General features: G+C 48.6%; 1 protein-coding gene across 7 annotated transcripts in view, besides 1 other annotated feature; it reads right to left on the minus strand.

The window, feature by feature from the left end:
* Window positions 1–19,534, minus strand: part of TPST2 (tyrosylprotein sulfotransferase 2) — a 68,137-nt gene that overhangs the window by 7,549 nt on the left and 41,054 nt on the right. For 4 of the 7 annotated variants that reach the window (XR_007067981.1, NM_003595.5, NM_001008566.3 and 1 more), the window contains exons 2-5: window positions 15,060–15,131; window positions 11,245–12,174; window positions 6,744–6,942; window positions 3,151–3,201 (exon numbers count right to left, since the gene is read on the minus strand). Coding sequence is in view for 6 of the 7 variants with exons in the window: in XM_024452294.2 (XP_024308062.1) it covers window positions 3,151–3,201; window positions 6,744–6,942; window positions 11,245–12,174; window positions 15,060–15,131 (1,252 nt within the window). In the remaining variant the exon portion in view is untranslated. Of the gene's footprint in view, window positions 1–3,150; window positions 3,202–6,743; window positions 6,943–11,244; window positions 12,175–15,059; window positions 15,132–17,955; window positions 18,075–19,534 lie in introns of all 7 variants that reach the window. The other 3 variants (NM_001362923.2, XM_047441549.1, NM_001362922.2) reach the window with 2 other exon arrangements.
* Window positions 11,801–12,302: an enhancer, noted in NCBI's record as "H3K27ac-H3K4me1 hESC enhancer chr22:26937311-26937812 (GRCh37/hg19 assembly coordinates)". NCBI's record gives its function as "activates a minimal SCP1, AML or CMV promoter by ChIP-STARR-seq in primed H9 embryonic stem cells {active_cell/tissue: H9 hESC(primed)}" and the evidence as "EXISTENCE:reporter gene assay evidence [ECO:0000049][PMID:30033119]".

Below are 19,534 nucleotides of genomic sequence, written 5' to 3' on the forward strand. Positions count from 1 at the left end.
ATGATTTAATCAGTCATGCCTCTATGATGAAATCTCTAAATGACAGAATTTGGAAAGCTTCCTGGTTGGTAAACACATTGAGAGGCTGGGAGGGTGTCATGCCGGGAAAGGGCATGGATGTTCTGTGACCCATCCCCCATACCTCACCCTACGCTTCTTGCATTTGACTGTACCTGAGTTGTATTCTTTTTTATGAGACAGGGTCTCACTCTGCCACCCAGGCCAGAGTGCAGTGGCACGAACATGTGCCACATGTGCCATACCCAGCTAAGGCTTTCTCTTTTTTGTAGGGAGATGGGGTCTCACTGTGTTGGCCTTGAATTTAAAAAAAAAAAATTAATGCGATCTGAGAGCTAGGGACCATGGCTTTTGAGCATTTCCTGGTTGTTTGGGGAGAGGTCCCACTCCCTTTGTGGGAATCAGAGATCTATCTTTTGCTGACGTCAAGAAAGTAGCCAGAATTAGTGAGCACTAATTTAGTATTTGTTTTAACCAAAAAGATGATGTAGGCAGAACAACACAGTGGGGATGAGGAGAATTATCCACAAACTGAAACTTCTCATTTTTGCACGTTGCCTTCGTTTTTGTTGTTGTTGTTGCTGCTGTTGTTTTTAAGAGACAGGGGCTCCAGCGATCCTCCCACCTCAGCCTCCTGAGAACCTGGGACTGCAGGCATGCCACTGCACCCAACTCCTGCGTGTTGCCTTTTTTTGTCCACCTGAATATGCATTTTTACATTAGTTGCAATTGTATAGTATGAGCTGCTTTGTTTTGCTTTCTTACTATTTTTTCATCATTTGGGTTTCACTAGCACCATTTTGGATGGCTACAGATATTCTGTGGAGTGCATGTACCACCGTTTACTGACTGCTTACCTAAGAATGGTTCCAATTTTTGCAGTATTTTAAATGACATCACATCCTGATTCTGCCTCTCTTCTGTTGGGTACTGAAGCTCTACTGAATCATTCCCTTAGAATTCACTTCTAAAAAATGGAATCATGCTTGAACCCGGGAGGTGGAGGTTGCAGTGGGCTGAGATGGCGCCACTGCACTCCAGCCTGGGTGACACAGTGAAACCCCATCTCAAAAAAAAAAAGGAATCAGCAGGAGCAGGTGGAAGGGTTCAGATCTTTTGAAGACTCTTGAACAACAAGGCTAAAAGTGTTTTACAAAAGGGTTGGGGTCAGGAGCAGTGGCTCACGCCTGTAATCCCAGCATTTTGGGAGGCCGAGGTGGGTGGATCACTTGAGGTCAGGAGTTCGAGACCAGCCTGGCCAACATGGCGAAACCCCTTTCTACTAAAAATACAAAAATTAGCCAGGCGTGGTGGCCGGTGCCTGTAATCCCAGCTACTTGAGAGGCTGAGGCAGGAGAATTGCTTGAACCTGGGAGGCAGAAGCCGCAGTGAGCCGAGATCACCGCATTGCACTCCAGCCTGGGCAACAAGAGGAAAACTCCATCTCAAAAACAAAAACAAAAACAAAAACAAAAGGGTTGGGCCAGTTTATACTTCCTGCCGTGTATGACATATGCAAGATGTCTAGCTGACCTGGGACTGGTTTTTGTTGCTTTTAGGAACAAAATATGAAGGAATGGCATACCCCCACGCTCAGGAGGGCTGCCCTGCAGATAAGTTTTGTCAAGCCTCTATTTCCAACCCTCATCTCCCTACTGTCCTCCACTGTGCACATAATGTCATTCTGGATGTTGTAAAAACTGGAAATGGTCTTGAAGAAGCTGTTTAGTAAATGGTAGCACATGCATTCCACAGAACACTACGTAGCCATCCAAAATGGTGCCGGTGAAACTCAAAAGATAGGAAAATATTAAGAAAGCAAAACAAGGCAGTTTGAACATGAAAATTGCAATGAACATTCCTGTAAATCACATTGGGGTAGAAACAAAGAAAAATATAATTGCAACGAATGCAAAAGTGCATACGCACTCCAGAGGTTTCGGCCACACTCCCCACTTTCAGGCGTTTACAGTTCCCTCTGCCGGGAAGCCTTTTCTATCCAGATCTTTGTGTGGCAGACCTAGTTTTAATCCTTCAGATATTGGCTTATGGGTGCTTTCCAATATCAGTGACCAATTCTCTGATTATCTGGATACCAACTGGGTGTTCAACAATTCAGTTCAGTTCTGACACCAGCTCCCAGACTTACTTAGCATCAGCTGCCACAGATTAAGGGCCCAGTTCCACGACTGCCCCACTTTAGATGCCAGCTGCAATGGGGTGCGCAGGCTATCCACACTTCTTCCCAGCCAACTTCAAATCTGGAGGTTCCCACAACCCCCACTCTGGTTTGATAATTCACTAGAACAGCTCACAAGACACTAGGGAAAACACTTTACTAACTGCTACCTGTTTATTATAAATAATACAACTCAAGCTTGGACAACATGCCAAAACCCTGTCTCTACAAAAAACACAAAAATTAGCCGGGCATGATGGTGTGTGTCTGTAGTCTCAGCTTCTTGAGGGGCTGAGGTGAGAGGATTGCTTGAGCCCAGGAGATTGAGGCTGCAGTGAGCCATGATCACACCACTGCACTCCAGTCTCAACAAGAAAGAAAGCCCAAGAAAAAGTCCCCACGAAGTCCCTCCAACTGCATTCAAGCCGGAAGACGAAGTGAGAGGCTGCTTCCTGGCAGAAGGGCCACTGAGATGTGGCCCCAGCTGGATCAGTGCTTAGAGACCCTCTGGTCCAGCACGCATCCCCACAGCCCTTTATTTTTTATTTTTATTTTTTGAGATGGAGTCTCGCTCTGTCGCTCGGGCTACAGTGCAACGGCGTGATCTCAGCTCACTGCGACCTCTGCCTCCCAGGGTCAAGCGATTCTCCTGCCTCAGCCTCCCAAGTAGCTGGGATTACAGGTGTGTGCCACTACGCCCGGATAATTTTTGTATTTTTAGTAGAGACGGGGTTTCACCGTTTTGGTCAGGCTGGTCTTGAACTCCTGACCTCGTGATCTGCCTGCCTTGGCCTCCCAAAGTGCTGGGATTACAGGCAGCCAGCTCACATCCCCCTTTTTATAATGGGAAAACCATCAACCAGAGTGGAGAAGTGACACATCTAAGGGCATACAGCCAGATGGTGGTATAGCTGAGAAAGACAGAATTCGGAATTCCCCTTGGGGTTTCTAACCTGAAAATATCCTTTCAGATTGGCTGGTGTTTTATAGTCCCCTTTCAAGACCTAAGGAAGAGAAAAAGAAATATCACTATTATGAAAATGGCCAAAAAATAAAATTTAGTCATTCCCAACACATCCAGTCATCCACCCATCCACCTCGCCACCCACCCATCCCTCCATCCAACAAACATTGCTTAAGCTCCTCTTCTTCTAGGCATTATTCTAAGCATTGTGTCTGGTTGACATGATGTTAACCAGATAATGGAAATTCCTGTTCCCCTGGAGCTACCATTCTAGAGGGGGCACCAGATAACATACAAGAAAAATAAACACAGATAAACAAGGACATAGCAAACCATGGGAACTGTTGTGAAAAAAGTACAGTAAAGAGGTGGGATTAGGAGTAACCAGGGGGCTTCTTTTGAGTGGGTGGTCAAGAGGGGACTCTTGGGCCAGGCGCAGTGACTCATGCCTGTAATCTCAGCACTTCTGGAGGCCAAGGCAGGAGGATCACTTGAGTCCAGCAGTTTGAGATCAGCCTGGGAAACACACTGAAACCCCATTTCTAAAAAATTAAAAATTAGCTGGGCATGGTGGCATGCACTTATCGTCCCAGCTGCTCTGGAGCTACTCCAGCCTCAGCTGGAGGATTGGTTGAGCCCGGGAGGTTGAGGCTGCAGTGAAGTATGATCACATCACTCCACTCTAGCCTGAGTGACAGAGCGAGACCCTGTCTCTAAGAAAGTGAATAAATAAAAATAAAAAGGGCCTCTTGAAATAGATAACCTTTGAGCTGAGACCCAAACGACAAGGAAAAATAGGTAGGCTAAGCTCAGAAGAAAAAGCACTCCAGGCAGAGGCAACAGAGCAAAGGCCCTGAAGTTAGAACCACAACATTTCAGGCCTTTCCGCTAGTAGTCACATTTTAAAATAAAATGAAACAAGGGAGATTAATTCTAACAATATCTTTTATTTAACCTGATATAGCTAATTTTTTTTTTTTTCTATTGAGACATGGTCTCACTCCCATAGCCCAAGCTGGAGTGCAGTGGTGCGATCACGGCTCACTGCAGCCTCCACTTCCCAGCCTCAGGTGATTCTCCCACCTCAGCCTTCTGAGTAGCTGGGACTATAGGCACGTGCCACCATGCCTGGCTAATATTCAATATTTTTAGTAGAGATGAGGTTTCACCATGTTACCCAGGCTGGTCTCAAACTCCTAGGCTAAGCAGTCTGCCTGCCTTGGCCTCCAAAAGTGCTAGGATTATAGACATGAGCCATCATGTCCAGCCTATGTAAAATATTAACATTTCAATATGTAATTTATATAAAAGTGACTAATAAGAAACGTTACATACTTTTTTGTCCTAAGCCTTCAAAATCTAGTGTGTATTTTACACCTAACAGGACCTCTCACTTTGGACTAGCCTCCTGTTACAGAATCAGGGGCCACACATGGCTAGTGGCTACCGTATGGGACACTGCAGGCAGAGACGATTTCATCAGCATAGATGTCCTTTTAGCCACTGTGTTTACTGAGCCCCAGGATCCATTATTGGAACACACAGGGTCCACAGCACTCACAGAAGCACACAGGCATGCATGCAAACTCACAGGGCTTAGTGAGAGGACTTTTCTTTGCAGTAACAGCCAAGCTATGGCAAAAACTAAACCAGGGATCTAGCACTTGCCAAGACTTGTTGACCGCCCCAGGGAAGAAATCTCTTTGGATGAAAATGAGAGACAGCTTCCATTTTAAATAAACAAACACAAAAAGCTCCAAAGAGTTGATGTTAACCACCAGTGCTCATGAAAATTATTTGTGTTTTATAAAATACATAAAGTCAGGCTTTACTCCAGGAACGTCCGACCCATAGCCTGGGGCAAGCCAGGGGCAGCGAGCCACCTTTTAAGGAGACCCCAGAGGAGCCACTGCTGGGCCCTTGGCTGAGAACAGTGAAGTAAGCAACATCCAGCCCACTACTGCAGTGTCCCCAGCCGGCCCTCGCCTCTGCTTCTGAGAAGCACCTGGGGCTGGATTGTGAGATCACTACCATCTTTTTAATCCAGTTAATTAATTTTTTATTTTGATAATACATGTACAACCCACAGGCAGATAAAAGTATGTAAAACACATAAGTAGGGTTTAAAGATTACTATTATTAAAGAATAATAAAATAAAAATTAATAATATTTATAATAAAAATAACAAACCACATCTGGGTTGCAGCCATTCACCTGTCAATGTCGGCTGGTATGTACGTTGAATCTCTGAGTATTTCCATAAATAGATGTCTGCAAAATCAACTAATGTCAAGAGGAAGAGGAACTCACGAGACCCACAGACAAAGCTTACACTTCAATTACAAGGGCACAGCCCCCAAAGCTCAGCGTTAGTAAATTCTCTTTGTTAAAGAGAGATCAGTGAGTGCTAGAGAGGTGGTAATGACTTTTTAGCACCAAATGGAAACTTTCTTCTTGAGCCAACTGAAGAGTTACGGAACTAAGAGACGATTAACTTTTTTCCGTTGTGATTCAATACGATAACTGTTTATTTCCTAAAATCAGCACACGCTCAGAAATGCTGAGCTTAGCTTAAATTAAAGACTCTGGGTCTTAATGAAGTAAGGGCTGTGAAAGCTCTTCCTCAGGCCTGGGTCCCATTTTCAAATATTTGCCTATAAGGAAGTTAGAACACAGCACTTAAAGTAAACTAGAAGCTGTAATGGAAACGTATAAATAAGGCCATCAACTTGTTAACTGTTCTTTTACCCAGTGGGTGTTAGCCTACTTTAACACTTCAAAAGCATTTTGTCAGTCACTGGAGGCTCACACCTGTAATCTCAGCACTTTGGGAAGAGTGAAGCAGGGGCATCCCTTACGGCCAGGAGTTCTAGACCAGCCTGGGCAACGTAGCGAGACCCCGCCTTTATAAAAATTAAAATTAGCTGTGCATGGTGGCGTGCACCTGCAGTCCTAGCTACTCAGGAGCCTGGGGTGAGAGGATGGCTTAAGCCGAGAAGTATCAGGCTGCAGTAGCTATGACTGCACCAGTGCACCCAGCTTGGGCAACAGAGCAAGACCATGCCTCAAACAAAACAGTACAAAACAAAAAAGTCATTTCCCTTCACCATCTTAACTAAGGAGAATTTTAAGCATAATTTAAACAGCCCTAAACTCACATTTGTCTGAGAAATCCACATTAAACCTTATAAGACAAGAAAGGGACCAATAGTTTATTTATTTATACCCCCTCTCAACAAAGACTTGAGGTGCCTTACAAACAGATAAACAAATAGCCAGGGAAATAGGGGTAAAAATGTAAATAAAATTAGAGAAATAAGATGAAATTAGTGTACAAGCTGGCCTGCTGTTAGATGTTAGAGTATGAGAGACAGGCTACCAGTTGGCTTTGAGCTTCCCTGCAGCCCAAGCAAAATGGAAATACAAGCAATCATGTAGTTCACTGTGTCCATCAGACAGGAACAAATCAGATGACCAGGAATTGAGAGACTGAACATTTCCTCAGGTGGCTGGAGTTTCCACATCTGCAGAAGCCCCATATCCCCAAGAGTACACTTCCACAAGTACAGGTGCACACTCACCCGCTGTGTGTTGTTGATGACGAAGGGGTCAGGGTTGCCATAGTTGGGGGGGTTTGCATAAGGGTCATAGCCGAGCTGAGCCAGCATGGGGGCGATCTGGGCCATGTCCCGCACCACATCCCCAGGGATGTGGCCAGTCCACTTGGAGAGCGCTTCCAGGTTAACAGGCTTGATGACCTGGTCCGTGGACCGCTCGATCCTGGGGAGAGAGGAGACGCTGGAGAGGGTAGGGCAGACCCAGATGGCGCCTGAGCGGATTCCCTGCTCAGCCACTCTGGGGCAGCAGGAAAGACTGGAGAAACCTGGCCTCCACCCAGCTCTGCCCCATCAACTGTGAGATGGCAGGTGAGTCATTTTTGCCTCCTCATACCTCCTTTGTACAATGGGAACACAGCATGCAGTGAGAAGTCAGAAGAAAGTACTAGCAGTATACACCATTGGTACATACATTCTGCTTTCTTCTCCAGCTTAAAAAATAACAACAGTTTAGGTCAGGCACAGTGGCTCACACCTGTAATCCCAGCACTTCAGAAAGCCAAGGCAGAAGGATCACTTGAGCTCAGGAGTTTGACACCAACTTGGGCAACATGGTGAAACCCCATTACAAAAATAAGCTGGGCATGGTAACAAGCGCCTGTAGTCCCAGCAGCTGCGCAGGAGGCTGAGATGGGAGAATTGCTTGAGCCCGGGAGGTTGAAGAAGCAGTGAGCCTGAGCTGTGATTGCACCACTGCACTCCAGACTGGGCAACAGAGCAAGACCCTGTCTCAAAAAAAAAAGAAACACTTTTTAATGTGTATGACTAACATGAATATTTTGTCCCTAAAAAAAGTTATAAAACACTAATGATAAAGCTGAAAGCCACTGTGTTCATCACTGCCAGCCCATCGGCTTCCTACAGGCACTCAGTCTTTGCACTGTGGAGCACACCACCTTCTCTAACCTTTTCTTGTAGAGTAGTTAAGAGCAAACCAGGGAGCCAGATTGCCTGGGTTCAGACGCCAGCTGTTCCCCAGCTGTGTGGCCTTGGGAAAGTTACTTCACCTCTCTGGGCCTCAGTTTCCTCTTCTGTAATTGGCAATGATAGTAGTACCTACCTCACTGGGGTTGTCTGAAGAGTAAATGAGTTAATACAAAGAAAGTGCTTAGAAGAGCGTAGGCACATTGTAAGTTTTTTCTTTTTGGAGATGGAGTCTCACTCTGTTGCCCAGGCTGGAGTGCAGTGGCACAATCTTGGCTCACTGCAACCTCCACCTCCTGGGTTCAAACGATTCTCATGCCTCAGCCTCCCAAGTAGCTGGAACTACAGGCATGTACCACCACGCCCAGCTAATTTTTGTATTTTTAGAAGAGACGGGGTTTCACCATGTTGGCCAGGCTGGTCTCGAACTCCTGACCTCAAGTGATCTGCCCGCCTCGGCCTCCCAAAGTGCTGGGATTCCAGACATAAGCCACTGTGCCTGGCCAACACATTGTAAATTTTTAATAAGGGTTAGCATGCTCTCTCTCCTGTGCACACGCTCTCTCTCTCACACACACACACAAACGCGCGTCTGCAGCTGTAAAACAAATACGCTAGTTTTTTTTCCCCACTCAATACCTCACTCTTTTTGCCAGCTATGTAGCCTTCCTCCATCACTTATTTTTCCATTCCCCTGAAGACAGACATTTAGGTTGTTTCCAACTTTTCACAGCTACCATGGAATAACCATCATCTTCAACCTGCTTCCTAACTCTCCCTGTAACAGGCTTCCCAAGCCACCTGAATGATGCAGATCTTACCAATTATAACTCAGGGGCCTGACAGGATGAATGGTGGGGAACCCCCAGGATCAAGGGCCTAGTTCTAAATGTTTTCATCCCAACTAAGAGGTGACTTGGGAAAGAACAGAAAGAGGCAGCAAAAGGAAGACAAGACCGGGCGTGAGGTGAGGAGAACAGGGGAAGGTGAAAGGGTGTGGACTGGTGGGTAGAACACAGATTCAGAGGCTGCAAACCTGGATTTAAATCTTAACTCTACCCAATATGTCAAAAATCTTGAGTATGTGCATGGCTTTTGCCAAAATCCTTGTGTCTCTAGGACTTTATGGTGCAGAAATGAGGTGGACACATCCCAGAACATGAATGAGGGCAATGCTTGATACATATCAGTAAAACTGGAAATAACCGAAGTGTCCAACAATAGGGAATGTGAAGTCGAATATGGCAATCCGTGTAGCAGCCTGTCGCACAGCTATTCAAAATGATGCTGCAGGTCAGGCGCGGTGGCTCATGCCTGTAATCCCAGCACTTGGGGAGGCTGAGGCGGGCAGATCACCTGAGGTCACGAGTTCGAGACCAGCCTGGCCAACATGGCAAAACCCCATCTCTACTAAAAATATAAAAATTAGCAGAGCGTGGTGGCGGGTGCCTGTAATCCCAGCTATTTGGGAGGCTGAGGCAGGGAGAACTGCTTGAACCCGGGAGGCGGAGGTTGCAGTGAGCCGAGATCACACCACTACACTCCAGCCTGGGTGACAGAGCGAGACTCCGTCTCAACAACAAAACAACAACAAAAATGCTGCTACCAAAGAGTGCTGGCTGCCACTGGCAAGGGCTCCCACACCACCGTGGAAAAAGGCTACAGAGGAGTATGTTTCGTTGGACTCCAGTTTCATCAACAGGCCCTGAAAATGGTGCAGTAGGCCACACATCAAGATCTGGGTGGTGAGATCATGGGTTGTTTCTCCGTTCTTCTTTGGTGTATCTTTTCTAATTTTCTATAGTCAAGATGTATTACTTTGGTAATCTAATATTTTTGTCATAATAATTTATAAAATCCTAGCTCCAGCACCAACTGGCTGGGGTACCCGGCATGTAGGAACTTTGTTGCTAGCGGAGAGCAGCTGCGAGCCTCTAGCTCTGCTCTGGGCCTGGGAAGGGGCCCAGCAGGGACCAGCCATGGGAAGGACCAGCCATGGGAAGGACCACCCTTTCACTGAGCTCTCAGGCTATCCAGAGCCTGATCAGGATGGGAAAGCGTGGAAACTGCATATTCTGCTCCAGCATTGTTCAAAGTGCTCTGGGTCTCAGGATAGGGACAGCAGCTTTTCCAATGGAAGAAGGCAGGGAGCAAGGGACAGAGGGAGGAAGGAAAGGAAAGGATGAGGGGGAGTGAAGGGGAGGATGGGAGGAGTTCTGGACATGGGGAGTTTAAGAACACAATAGGCCAGGGGCCTGTAATCCCAGCACTTTGGGAGGCCAAGGCAGGAGGAAGGCTTGAGCTCAGGGGTTGGAGACCAGCCTGGAAGACATACTGAGATCTCATCTCTACTAGGAAAAAAAAAAAAAAAATGAGCTGGGTGTGGAGATGCTCGCCTGTAGTCCCAACTACTCGGGAGACTGAGGTGGGAGAATTGCTTGAGCCCAAGAGGTCGAGGCTGCAGTTAGCTGGGATCGTGCCACTGCACTCCAGCCTGGGCAACAGAGTGAAACCCTGTCTCAAAAAAACAAAAACAAAAACAAGAAAAACCCCAAAAAACAGACCTGGGTTCCAATCCCAGCACCATGCTTTGTTAGCTGTGTAGCCTGAGGCCAGTAACTTCTCCTCTGTGAGATTCAGTTTTTTGGTCTATAAAATGTGGATAAGAGGTGTTCCTATGTCCTCAGGTTGCTGTGAGGATTAAAGGAGATAAACTTGTTGGGGGCTTAACCCAATACTTGCCATACAGTAGGCACTCATTAAATGACAATGGTGAGGATGGGTACTCCATCAATAAAAGCAGTATCAACACTAAAATAGTAATAATAGCACCTAACATTTATTAACCTATTTGATGCCCACAGGTATCTATAAGGTAGGCAAATTATATTTCCATGTTACAGATGAAGCAATGGAAGCACAGGGGTTGAGTCGCTTTGCCCAGGGTCACACAGCTAAGAAGTGGCAGAGCTGAGGTTTGAACCCAGACATCCTTGTTCTGGAATCTGTGCTCTTAACCTTTACCCACTATTGCCTTACTACAAAGCATATTCAAAGTTTGCAGATTCTAGGCTGGGTGTGGTGGCTCATGCCTGTAATCCCAGGACTCTGGGAGGCTGAGGTGGAAGAACTGCTTGAGGCCAGGAGTTTGAGACCAGCCTGGGCAACAGGGCAAACCCCATCTCTACCAAAAATACAAAAATTAGCCCAGCTTGGTGGCGCATGCCTATAGTCCCAGCTACTCAGGAAGATGAGGTGGGAGGATCACTTGAACAGGGAGGTGGCGGCTGTTACTCCAGCCGGGCAACAGACCGAGACACTGCCTCAAAAAACAAACAAACAGCCCACGAAGTTTGCAGATTCTCTCAGAAAGGAGAGGAGTAATTGTTGTCATTTTTTGGGATAATGAAACGGAGGCTCAGAGAGATATAGTGACTTGCCCAAGGCCACACAGCTCAAGAAAGGCAGTGCTGATTTTCTTGCCTGGCGCCTCTGACTCCAGGGCCAGAGTCTGAGTGGAAGCATCAGGGGCTCCACTCACTTGGACAGGGAGACACCACCGGGCTTGCCAATGAGGTCTTCATGGTGGAGGACAGCGTCGCTCCAGGCGATGCCGAGGAAGTCGAGGATGAGCTTGAGTGAGCGCCTGGGGTGCAGCACCAGCTGCTCGTAGTACACAGGCAGGCACTTCTCCTTGCCTACCTCCATGCACTGGGCGTACATCACCTCGATGGCCTTGTTCCACTTGGTGAGGCAGTCACGGTAGCTGCTGAGGTCAAAGCCCGCAATGGTGACTTTGCGCGTGATCATGGAGTGCACGGAGGCCCGGCCGTCCCGCACCATCAGCAGGAACTTGGAGTTGGGGAACAGGCGCGACAGGTAGACCGAGGACTTGAGCGTAAATGGGTCCTTGTTGCAGAGCACGCGGGCCGGCTCTCCGTGCTTGGCAATCACCTCCAGGATGAAGGCCTGCATGGCGGCGTCCAGCACCTCATCCGTCACCCCCGCCTCATCCAGCCGCAGCTTCTCACGGCCAGACTTGGACCAGGCCTGGCGCATGGCCAGCACGCGCGGGATGATGCGGGTCTCCTCGCCGCAGCGCACCTCGGGGTGCGCGTCCAGCATGGCGCGCATCAACGTGGTGCCACTGCGAGGCACGCCACCCACGAAGATGAGCGGCATGGCCTTGCCATAGCGGTATTCCACGTGGTTGGTGCCCACCATCACCAGCTCCTCCTGCTCAGGCCGCATGGCCCCCCGGGGGCTCCGCAGGCCCGCCAGCACCGCCCGGCACTCTAGCACCTGCTGTCCCAGCTGAACCGCCAGCACCAGGACCAGGGCGCAGCCGGCTGCCAGCAGCACCCTCCGCACCGACAGGCGCATGCTGGGCCGGAGGCAGGGTAGGCCTGGCCTGAGGGCCCGCTTCTGGGGCTTCAGCGACAGGTTAGCGGGCAGCCCGCCAGGCTCACATCTGGGGAGAGAGGGGGACATGCATAGTCAGGGAGGTCTGTGAGCTGTGAGCTCTCCAATAACTGCAAAGCCCTATAACTGCAAACAAGAGGCTGCTGACATGAATGCAGAGGGCACCTTTCATAAGCACTAGCTGTGTGCCTGGCACCCTGCTGGGCACTTTTTTCAATTTTTTTTGTTTTTTTAAAGAGATGGGGTCTCACCATGTTTCCCAGGCTGCTCTTGAACTCGTGGGCCTGGGTGATCCTCCTACCTGTCTCCCAAAGTGATGGGATTACAGGCATGAGCCACCCGGTCCAGCGGATCATGAGGTCAGGAGATCGAGACCATCCTGGCTAACACGGTGATATCCCATCTCTACTAAAATACAAAAAATTAGCTGGGCATGGTGGCGGGCGCCTGTAGTCCCAGCTACTCGGGAGGCTGCGGCAGGAGAATGGCGTGAACCTGGGAGGCAGAGCTTGCAGTGAGCCTAGACTGCGCCACTGCACTCCAGCGTGGGCGACAGAGCGAGACTCCGTCTAAAAAAAAAAAAAAAAAAGGCTGGAGTGCATTGAGTGGTGAGAGATCATAGCTCACTGCGGCCTCGGACTCCTGGGCTCAAGCAATCCTCTGCCTCAGCCTCCCAAGTACCTGGGACTACAGGCACACACCACCGCACCTGGCTAATTTTTAGAAACAGGGTCTCGCTTCAAGTGATCCTCCCGCCTCAGCCTCCCAAAATGATGGGATTACAGGCATGAGTTACCCCATCTGGCCCAAGAATATTAGTGATTTCTATCATAATCATTGGTTATTTACTTATTCCAACATTTAATGAGCACCTGCTATGTGCTGGGAGCCTCAGCCTCCAAAGTCTACTCTTACCATGGACCTGTGCCTGAGAGAGATTGATGGGTTCTACCTGCGTAGGTGAGGGAAGGCCTCCTGCAGGAGGTAGCCTTCATGCAGAATTTTCAGTGGTGGGTAGGAAACAGGCAGGTGGAGAAGGGAAACAAGGATGTTACCAGCAAAGGGAATAGCCAGCGCAGAGCCACAGGCAGGAAAGGATGCAGCACGACTGGGGAACTGCAAGTGACTTAGTGAACGGAGGGTTTGGTGGAAGCCAGTGGGAAGACAGCATGCCTCTTTGGATGTGAGGTTCCACCCAAAACCACCCAAGGGCCCAGTCTGCAGCTGGGCCTATCCACCTGCAAGGGCTTGGGCTGCCTGGGCCTTCTTAGGCTATAGCAAGTGGAAAATAAACATCAAAGCGGAGGGAACACAGTCTCAGGCCTGGGGTGGAAACTGCTAAGAGGCTAGGACTTCCTGGCCATGTGGCTTGGGAGAGTCACTTCCCTCATCTTAGCCACAGTCTCTTCAGCTGCAAAATCAGGGTGGATCCACTGACCTCAGAGGCTGCTGTGAAAATATGAGAAGCAGCTGACAAACCAGAGATGGATCTCAGGCTGGGGTCACCGGCCTCTCTGTGCATTGGATAATTTCCCTCTCTTCAGAAAAACGTGCTGATGAAGTTCTGCTGAAGAGGTTGGGGCTTCATTTGTACCCTCGATTCAGGGTCTGTGATGGAGAAAGCTAATTCAGAGCTACTTCCTGCGGGGAGGCAGGCTGAACAGGACATGAAGCCATTCCGAAATCCCTGCAACGACCCTTTGTCTTCATCAGGTGCTCAGTGAAATTCTCCCCTGAGACCTGTGACCAGAATCCTGTCAGTTATTAGGATTTCAGTGACAGCATCCCCACCTTGGCTGATTTTTTTGTGTGTTTTTAGTAGAGATGGGGTTTCACCATGTTAGCCAGGCTGGTCTCGAACTCCTGACCTAAGGTGATCTGCCCGCCTCAGCCTCCCAAAGTGCTGGGATTACAGGTGTGAGCCACCGCACCCGGCCAGCTTCAGCATTTTATGTTCAGCAAAGGTGTTCGAAATTATGGAGCATAAACTCTGCTAAAGCATTTTCCCTGCAGTATCTAAGCTCAAAGAGATGAAGCAGCTTGCCCAAGGTTGCATGGCCAGGGCAGGAATCCTGGATCAGACCAGGCCAAGGCTGAAGAAAACAGCTCAAAGCAGGCAAGTCAGAAGTGAGCAGAAGACAGCAATGACCTGCACGATGGCTTAAGAAGAAAAAGCAGGGTGACTTGGGACACAGAAAGCAGCCTGGAACCCACAAAGCAGAAAGTAGCTTCCTGGTTACCCAGAGCTAGGGACCCCACTGTGGAAGGAGCTAGAGGGCCCAGCCCAGGGAACTAGGCCTGCCCAACACCCTCATCACCCTGCTGGACCCTGGCAAGGGAGGTATCCTGGCATCCTCGCAGTGAGGATGATAGGTGAGGGCTTCTAACTTGGAGTACTACACTCCAAGGTTCAAATCTCACTTCTGCTGCCACTTGCCAGCTGGTGATCTGGACAAAAGGTATCACTTCTCTGAGCTTCTACTTTCTTCTCCAAAAAAGGAATAATAATACCCTTTTCTCAAGGAAGCTATTCAGAAGGCCAAGGAACTCCTGTGGGGTACTGAGAAAGCATACCTAAAACACTAACATTAGGAGAACGGGACACAACAGCGTTTGGGTTCTGGCTTGAATCTGCTCCGTGACACTGGGCAAGTCCCCCGCCCACTTTGGGACTCAGCCTTCTCTCTCCTATCACCTGGAGAATCGTCTTCCTAATAGACAAGGAAGATGCTCATCTCTCTATGATGCTTGCTGGGATGCAGCTTTTTCTAGTACCAGATTTCCAACCTGCTGGCTGAACAGAAAGGTGAAAACCAGCCAGGGGAGTTTGCCCAGGCACCCAATCATGGAGGCTGGGGGCATGGAGGGGACTTTTGGAGGGCGGTCTCAGGAGGGGCCAGGACTCCAGGGGAAGTTCCTTCTAGGTGCACTTACCTCCCTTGGGCACTCTCATCTCTGGGCTCCAGCCCTTGTGCCTGTGTGCCAAGGCTGTCTGCTGGCAGAGCCCTGGAGAGGCAAAGGAGATATTGCATCAGGGATGGGCACTGTGGAGAGGGGCCAAGCCTTCAAAGAGGCAGAGTGAGGGTTTAGGCTCCCAAGAGCACTGGACAGTGACATTTGGGAGAAGGACTCTGGAATGCAGGGGAGGCTGCTTCAGCTCAAGATACCACAGCTGGAGTCTCAACTTATCTACTCCTACAGGGAATGAACTGGCTCACTTCTTAGGCAGAGAGGTGTGAGCTGAAGTCTGAGCTAAGGCGCCGCTGCCTTAGGGAGCCCCTGGTTTATGCCAACCAGGCCTCTCCCCTCCTCTTGGCCTAGGGACCTTGGACTCCAGGAAAAGTAAATATAACAATAAGCAACAACAACCACCACTACACACCACTATTGCCACCTGAGATGGCTGGGTATGGTTGATCAGGTTGTGGACTGCACAATTCCAAATGGTACCACAGGCCCAGCCTACAAGGAATATGCTGCTTCCTGGAATTGAACACAACATCCTACTGTCACCACCTAACACTGACCAAATGCTGACCACGCAAATACCTGTGTCATTTAAACCCCAATAAAAGGAAAGTGTGATGATCCCAATTTTACAGATGAGAAAGCATGACACCAAGAGGAAGAGCAACTTACCCAAGGAATGGATGGAAAGAGTTTCACCATCCAGATCTGTAAGACCTTCCTAACACTTAATCTCCCATGGTTACAGGAACGAGGCTGTGTCCACGATGAGTCCTGGCATGTAGCCAGAACCAGGCCAAAGTGGAATCAAGGGGATCCTTATAGCTTTAGGGCAGGGAGTATATATCTCCCAGTGCTGTGTCCTTACCATTTAGGGTAGGGAAGATTTTTAGTCCAATTCAAACCTTCCCCCATTTTACAGATGGGACAACTGAGGCCCACAAGGAAAAATCATTTTACAGACTCACATACTGAGTCTGAAGCTAAACCTCCCACCTGTCAGTCCTGTTTCAGGAGGTGGGTAGTTTGGAATGCAGCTCTGGAGTTGGCCAACTCCTTGAGTATACATATCACTCCTCTCAGACTTTTCCTATTCTGTAAACAGGAGATTTTAACCAGGGTAACAACACTTTAAAATGTCAGCTTTTTAAATCTCAGCCAGGCCTGGGGTGGTGGCTCACGCCTGTGATCCCAGCACTTTGGGAGGCAGAGGCAGGAGGATCACTTGAGCCCAGGAGTTAGAGACCAGCCTGGGCAATATGGGGAGACCCAGTCTCTACAAAAAATAAAAAGTTATCCAGGTGATGGTACCTGCCTATAGTCCCGGCTACTTGGGAGGCTTAGATGGGAGGATTGCTGAAGCCCAGGAGGTCGAGGCTGCAGCGAGCTGTGATTGCATCACTGCACTACAGTCTGGGCAACAGAGCAAGACCACGTCTCAAAAAAAAAAAAAAAGAAAAAAAAAACTCAGCTTTTATTATTTGTGCCATGATGGCAATAAACCGGCTGCAGGGTGTTGACTGCATTTCTTGGTCCTCCATTCCTTCCTATTCACTCACTCCTTTTCTCCATACCATTTTCCTATTCCTGAAATATCAGGCCAATTAGGACATCTAAACCCAGATGGAAAAGGGAACCAAGGTGTAACCACAGCAACTAGACCCCCCCACAGCAGGCCACCCCCAAACTATAGATACTCAAGCCCCGGCACTCCTGGGACATGGGCGGTCAATGATGTGAGGCCTGCTCTCTTGGAATAAACAAAACCAATTAGGAACCAGGCACTTGAAGCTCTTCCAGAGGCAGGATGGCTCGCCCAGCTGCCCTCAGACAGCTCTTGAAATGCCAGCGAGCCCAAGAGGCCTGCCAGCCAGGCAGCTCCCATGGCCCACGAGCCCAGCCATCCCCCTCCAGGGAACACAGGCCCTTTCAGAGCAATGGAACAGGGCTGTCAGGGCTGTCAGTCATTTGGAGCTGTGCATCCAACATGCAGCTACCAGCCACATGTAACTATTTGAACTCACCTTATGCAACATTAAATACAATTAAGAATCCAGCTTCTCATTTGCACTAGCCACACTGCAAGTGCCCAGAAGCCACATGTGACCAGTGGCTACTGTACTGGACAGTGCACATTTAGGATGGGGTAGGCCAATGATGGCCCAATCCAACCCAGGGCCTGTTTTCAAATCACTCTTGAACTAAGAATGATTTGTAAATTTTATCAAGGGAAGAGGGTGAAGGGAAGAGGAAGAGGAGAGAGAGGAGGAGGAGCAATGGCAATAGAAACCACATGAACACCACAAAATTGGAAACATTTACTATCTGGACATTTATAGAAATTTGCTGACCTCTGCACTAGAACATTCCCATCACTGCAGAGTGTTCTGCTGGGCAGTGCTGATTAGAGGGCAAATGAGAGGGAGAGGTAGGAGTCAAAGAGCTCTCCTTTTTTTCTTTTTTTGTTGAGATGGGGTCTCACTCTGTCCAGCCCAGGCTGGAGTGCAGTGGCATGATCTTCGTTCACTGCAGCCTTGACTTCCTCGAGCTCAAGCGATCCTCCCAGATCCTCCCATCTCAGCCTCCCAGGTATCCAGGACTACAGGTGCATGCCACCATGCCTGGCTAATATTTGTATTTTTGTGTAGAGATGGAGTCCCGCTATGTTGCCCAGGCTGGTCTCAAACTCCTGGACTCAAGCAATACTCTTGCCTGTGCCTCCCAAAGTGCTGGGATTTCAGGTGTGGGCCACTTCACCCAGCCCCTCCTTTTCTTGTAGGAGGAATATATTAAATACACAGCACCCCTGTGTATTTAACACCAAAGCAAGGGCTTTCCATGCCCTACCTGGTTTCATACTCACATCAGCCCAGTCAGGCAGGTGGTGGCATGTTCTCCATTTTAAGCTAAGAAAGGCCCACGTGGGTGCAGGGTGAGCACGACTCTACCACACAGCAAAATCGCCAACAAATAGAAACCACACTTAAGAAAAAAGACAAGAAGGAAATATGACTCAACTGCTACCAGTTAACCAAGCAGGGGGTGGTGCACGCCTGTAGTCCCAGCTACTCGGGAGGCCGAGGTTGGGGGATTGCTTGAGCCCAGGAGATCAAGGCTGCAGTGAACTATGATCGAGCCACTGTACTCCAGCTTGGATGACAGAATGAGACTGCCTCAAAACAAAGAAACAAAAAACATTGCTACCAGGGGTGGTACTCGGGTGGTAGGTGATATTTTTCTCCTAAAAACATAACTTGATGGTGTCATCTTATTGTCTTTCCATATGATAAAATAATAAAGTGACTAGTAATTTTTGAATTGTATGCCATACATGTTATGGGCCCAGACTGCTTGGGTTCAACATTCTGCTGCACCAGCTACTGGCTGAAGGACCTTGGCAAGTCACTTAGCCTCTCTGAGACTTGGTTTTCTCGTCTGTAAAATGGGGATGATAATACAGGTCAAGTAGCCCTAATCCAAAATTTCAAAATCTGAAATGCTCCAAAATCCAAAACTTGTTGAGTGCCAACATGATGCTCACAGAAAACGCTCATCGGATGTGGGGCATGGTGGTTTACACCTGTAATCCCAGCACTTTGGGAAGCCGAGGTGGGAGAATCACTTAAGCTTGGGAGTTCAAGACCAGCCTGGGCTGTTAATACAGCGAGACCCCATCTTGAAAGGAAAGGGAAGGGGAGGGGAGAGGGAGGGGGAAAGGAGGCGGGGGAGGGGAAGGGGGAGGACATGGCACCACCCGCCTGATTGGGCTGATGTGAGTATGAAACCAGGTAGGGCATGGGAAAGGAAAGGGGAAAGGTAAGGAAAGGAGAAAGAAAAGGAAAAAGAAAGAAAGAAGAAAGGAAGGAAGGAAAAAAGGAAGAAAAAGAAGAAAAGCAAGGAAGGAGAAAGAAAAAAGAGAAAGAGAGAAGAAAGAGAAAGAAAAAGGAAGGAAGGAAGCAAGCAAGCAAGCTCATCAGACATTTTGGAGTATGGATGCTGAACTGATTAGTATGATGCAAATATTCCAAACTCGGAAAAAATTCAAGCTAGGTGTGGTAGCTCATGCCTGTAATCCCAGCACTTTGAGGGCTGAGGCAGGAGGCTCGCTTGAGCCCAGGAGTTTGAGACCAGCCTGGGCAACAAAGTGAGACCCCATCACTACAAAAAAAAATTTTTTTTTAATTAGCCAGGTGTGGTGGTGCTTGCCTGTAGTCCCAGCTAATTGGGATGCTGAGGCAGGAGGATCACTTGAACCCCAGAGGTCAAGGCTAAAGTGAGCCATGATCATGCCACTGCACTCCAGCCTCGGTGTCAGAGGGAGCCCCTGCCTCAAAAGAAAAAAAAATCTGAAATCCAAAACCTTTCTAGTCCCAAGAATTTCAGATAAAGGGATACGCAGCCTGTAACACCTCCTAGAAGGGCACTTTGAAATGTGCCTAGCG

Source organism: Homo sapiens, chromosome 22 (genome assembly GCF_000001405.40).
Source record: "Homo sapiens chromosome 22, GRCh38.p14 Primary Assembly".
Taxonomy (NCBI): Eukaryota; Metazoa; Chordata; class Mammalia; order Primates; family Hominidae; genus Homo; species Homo sapiens.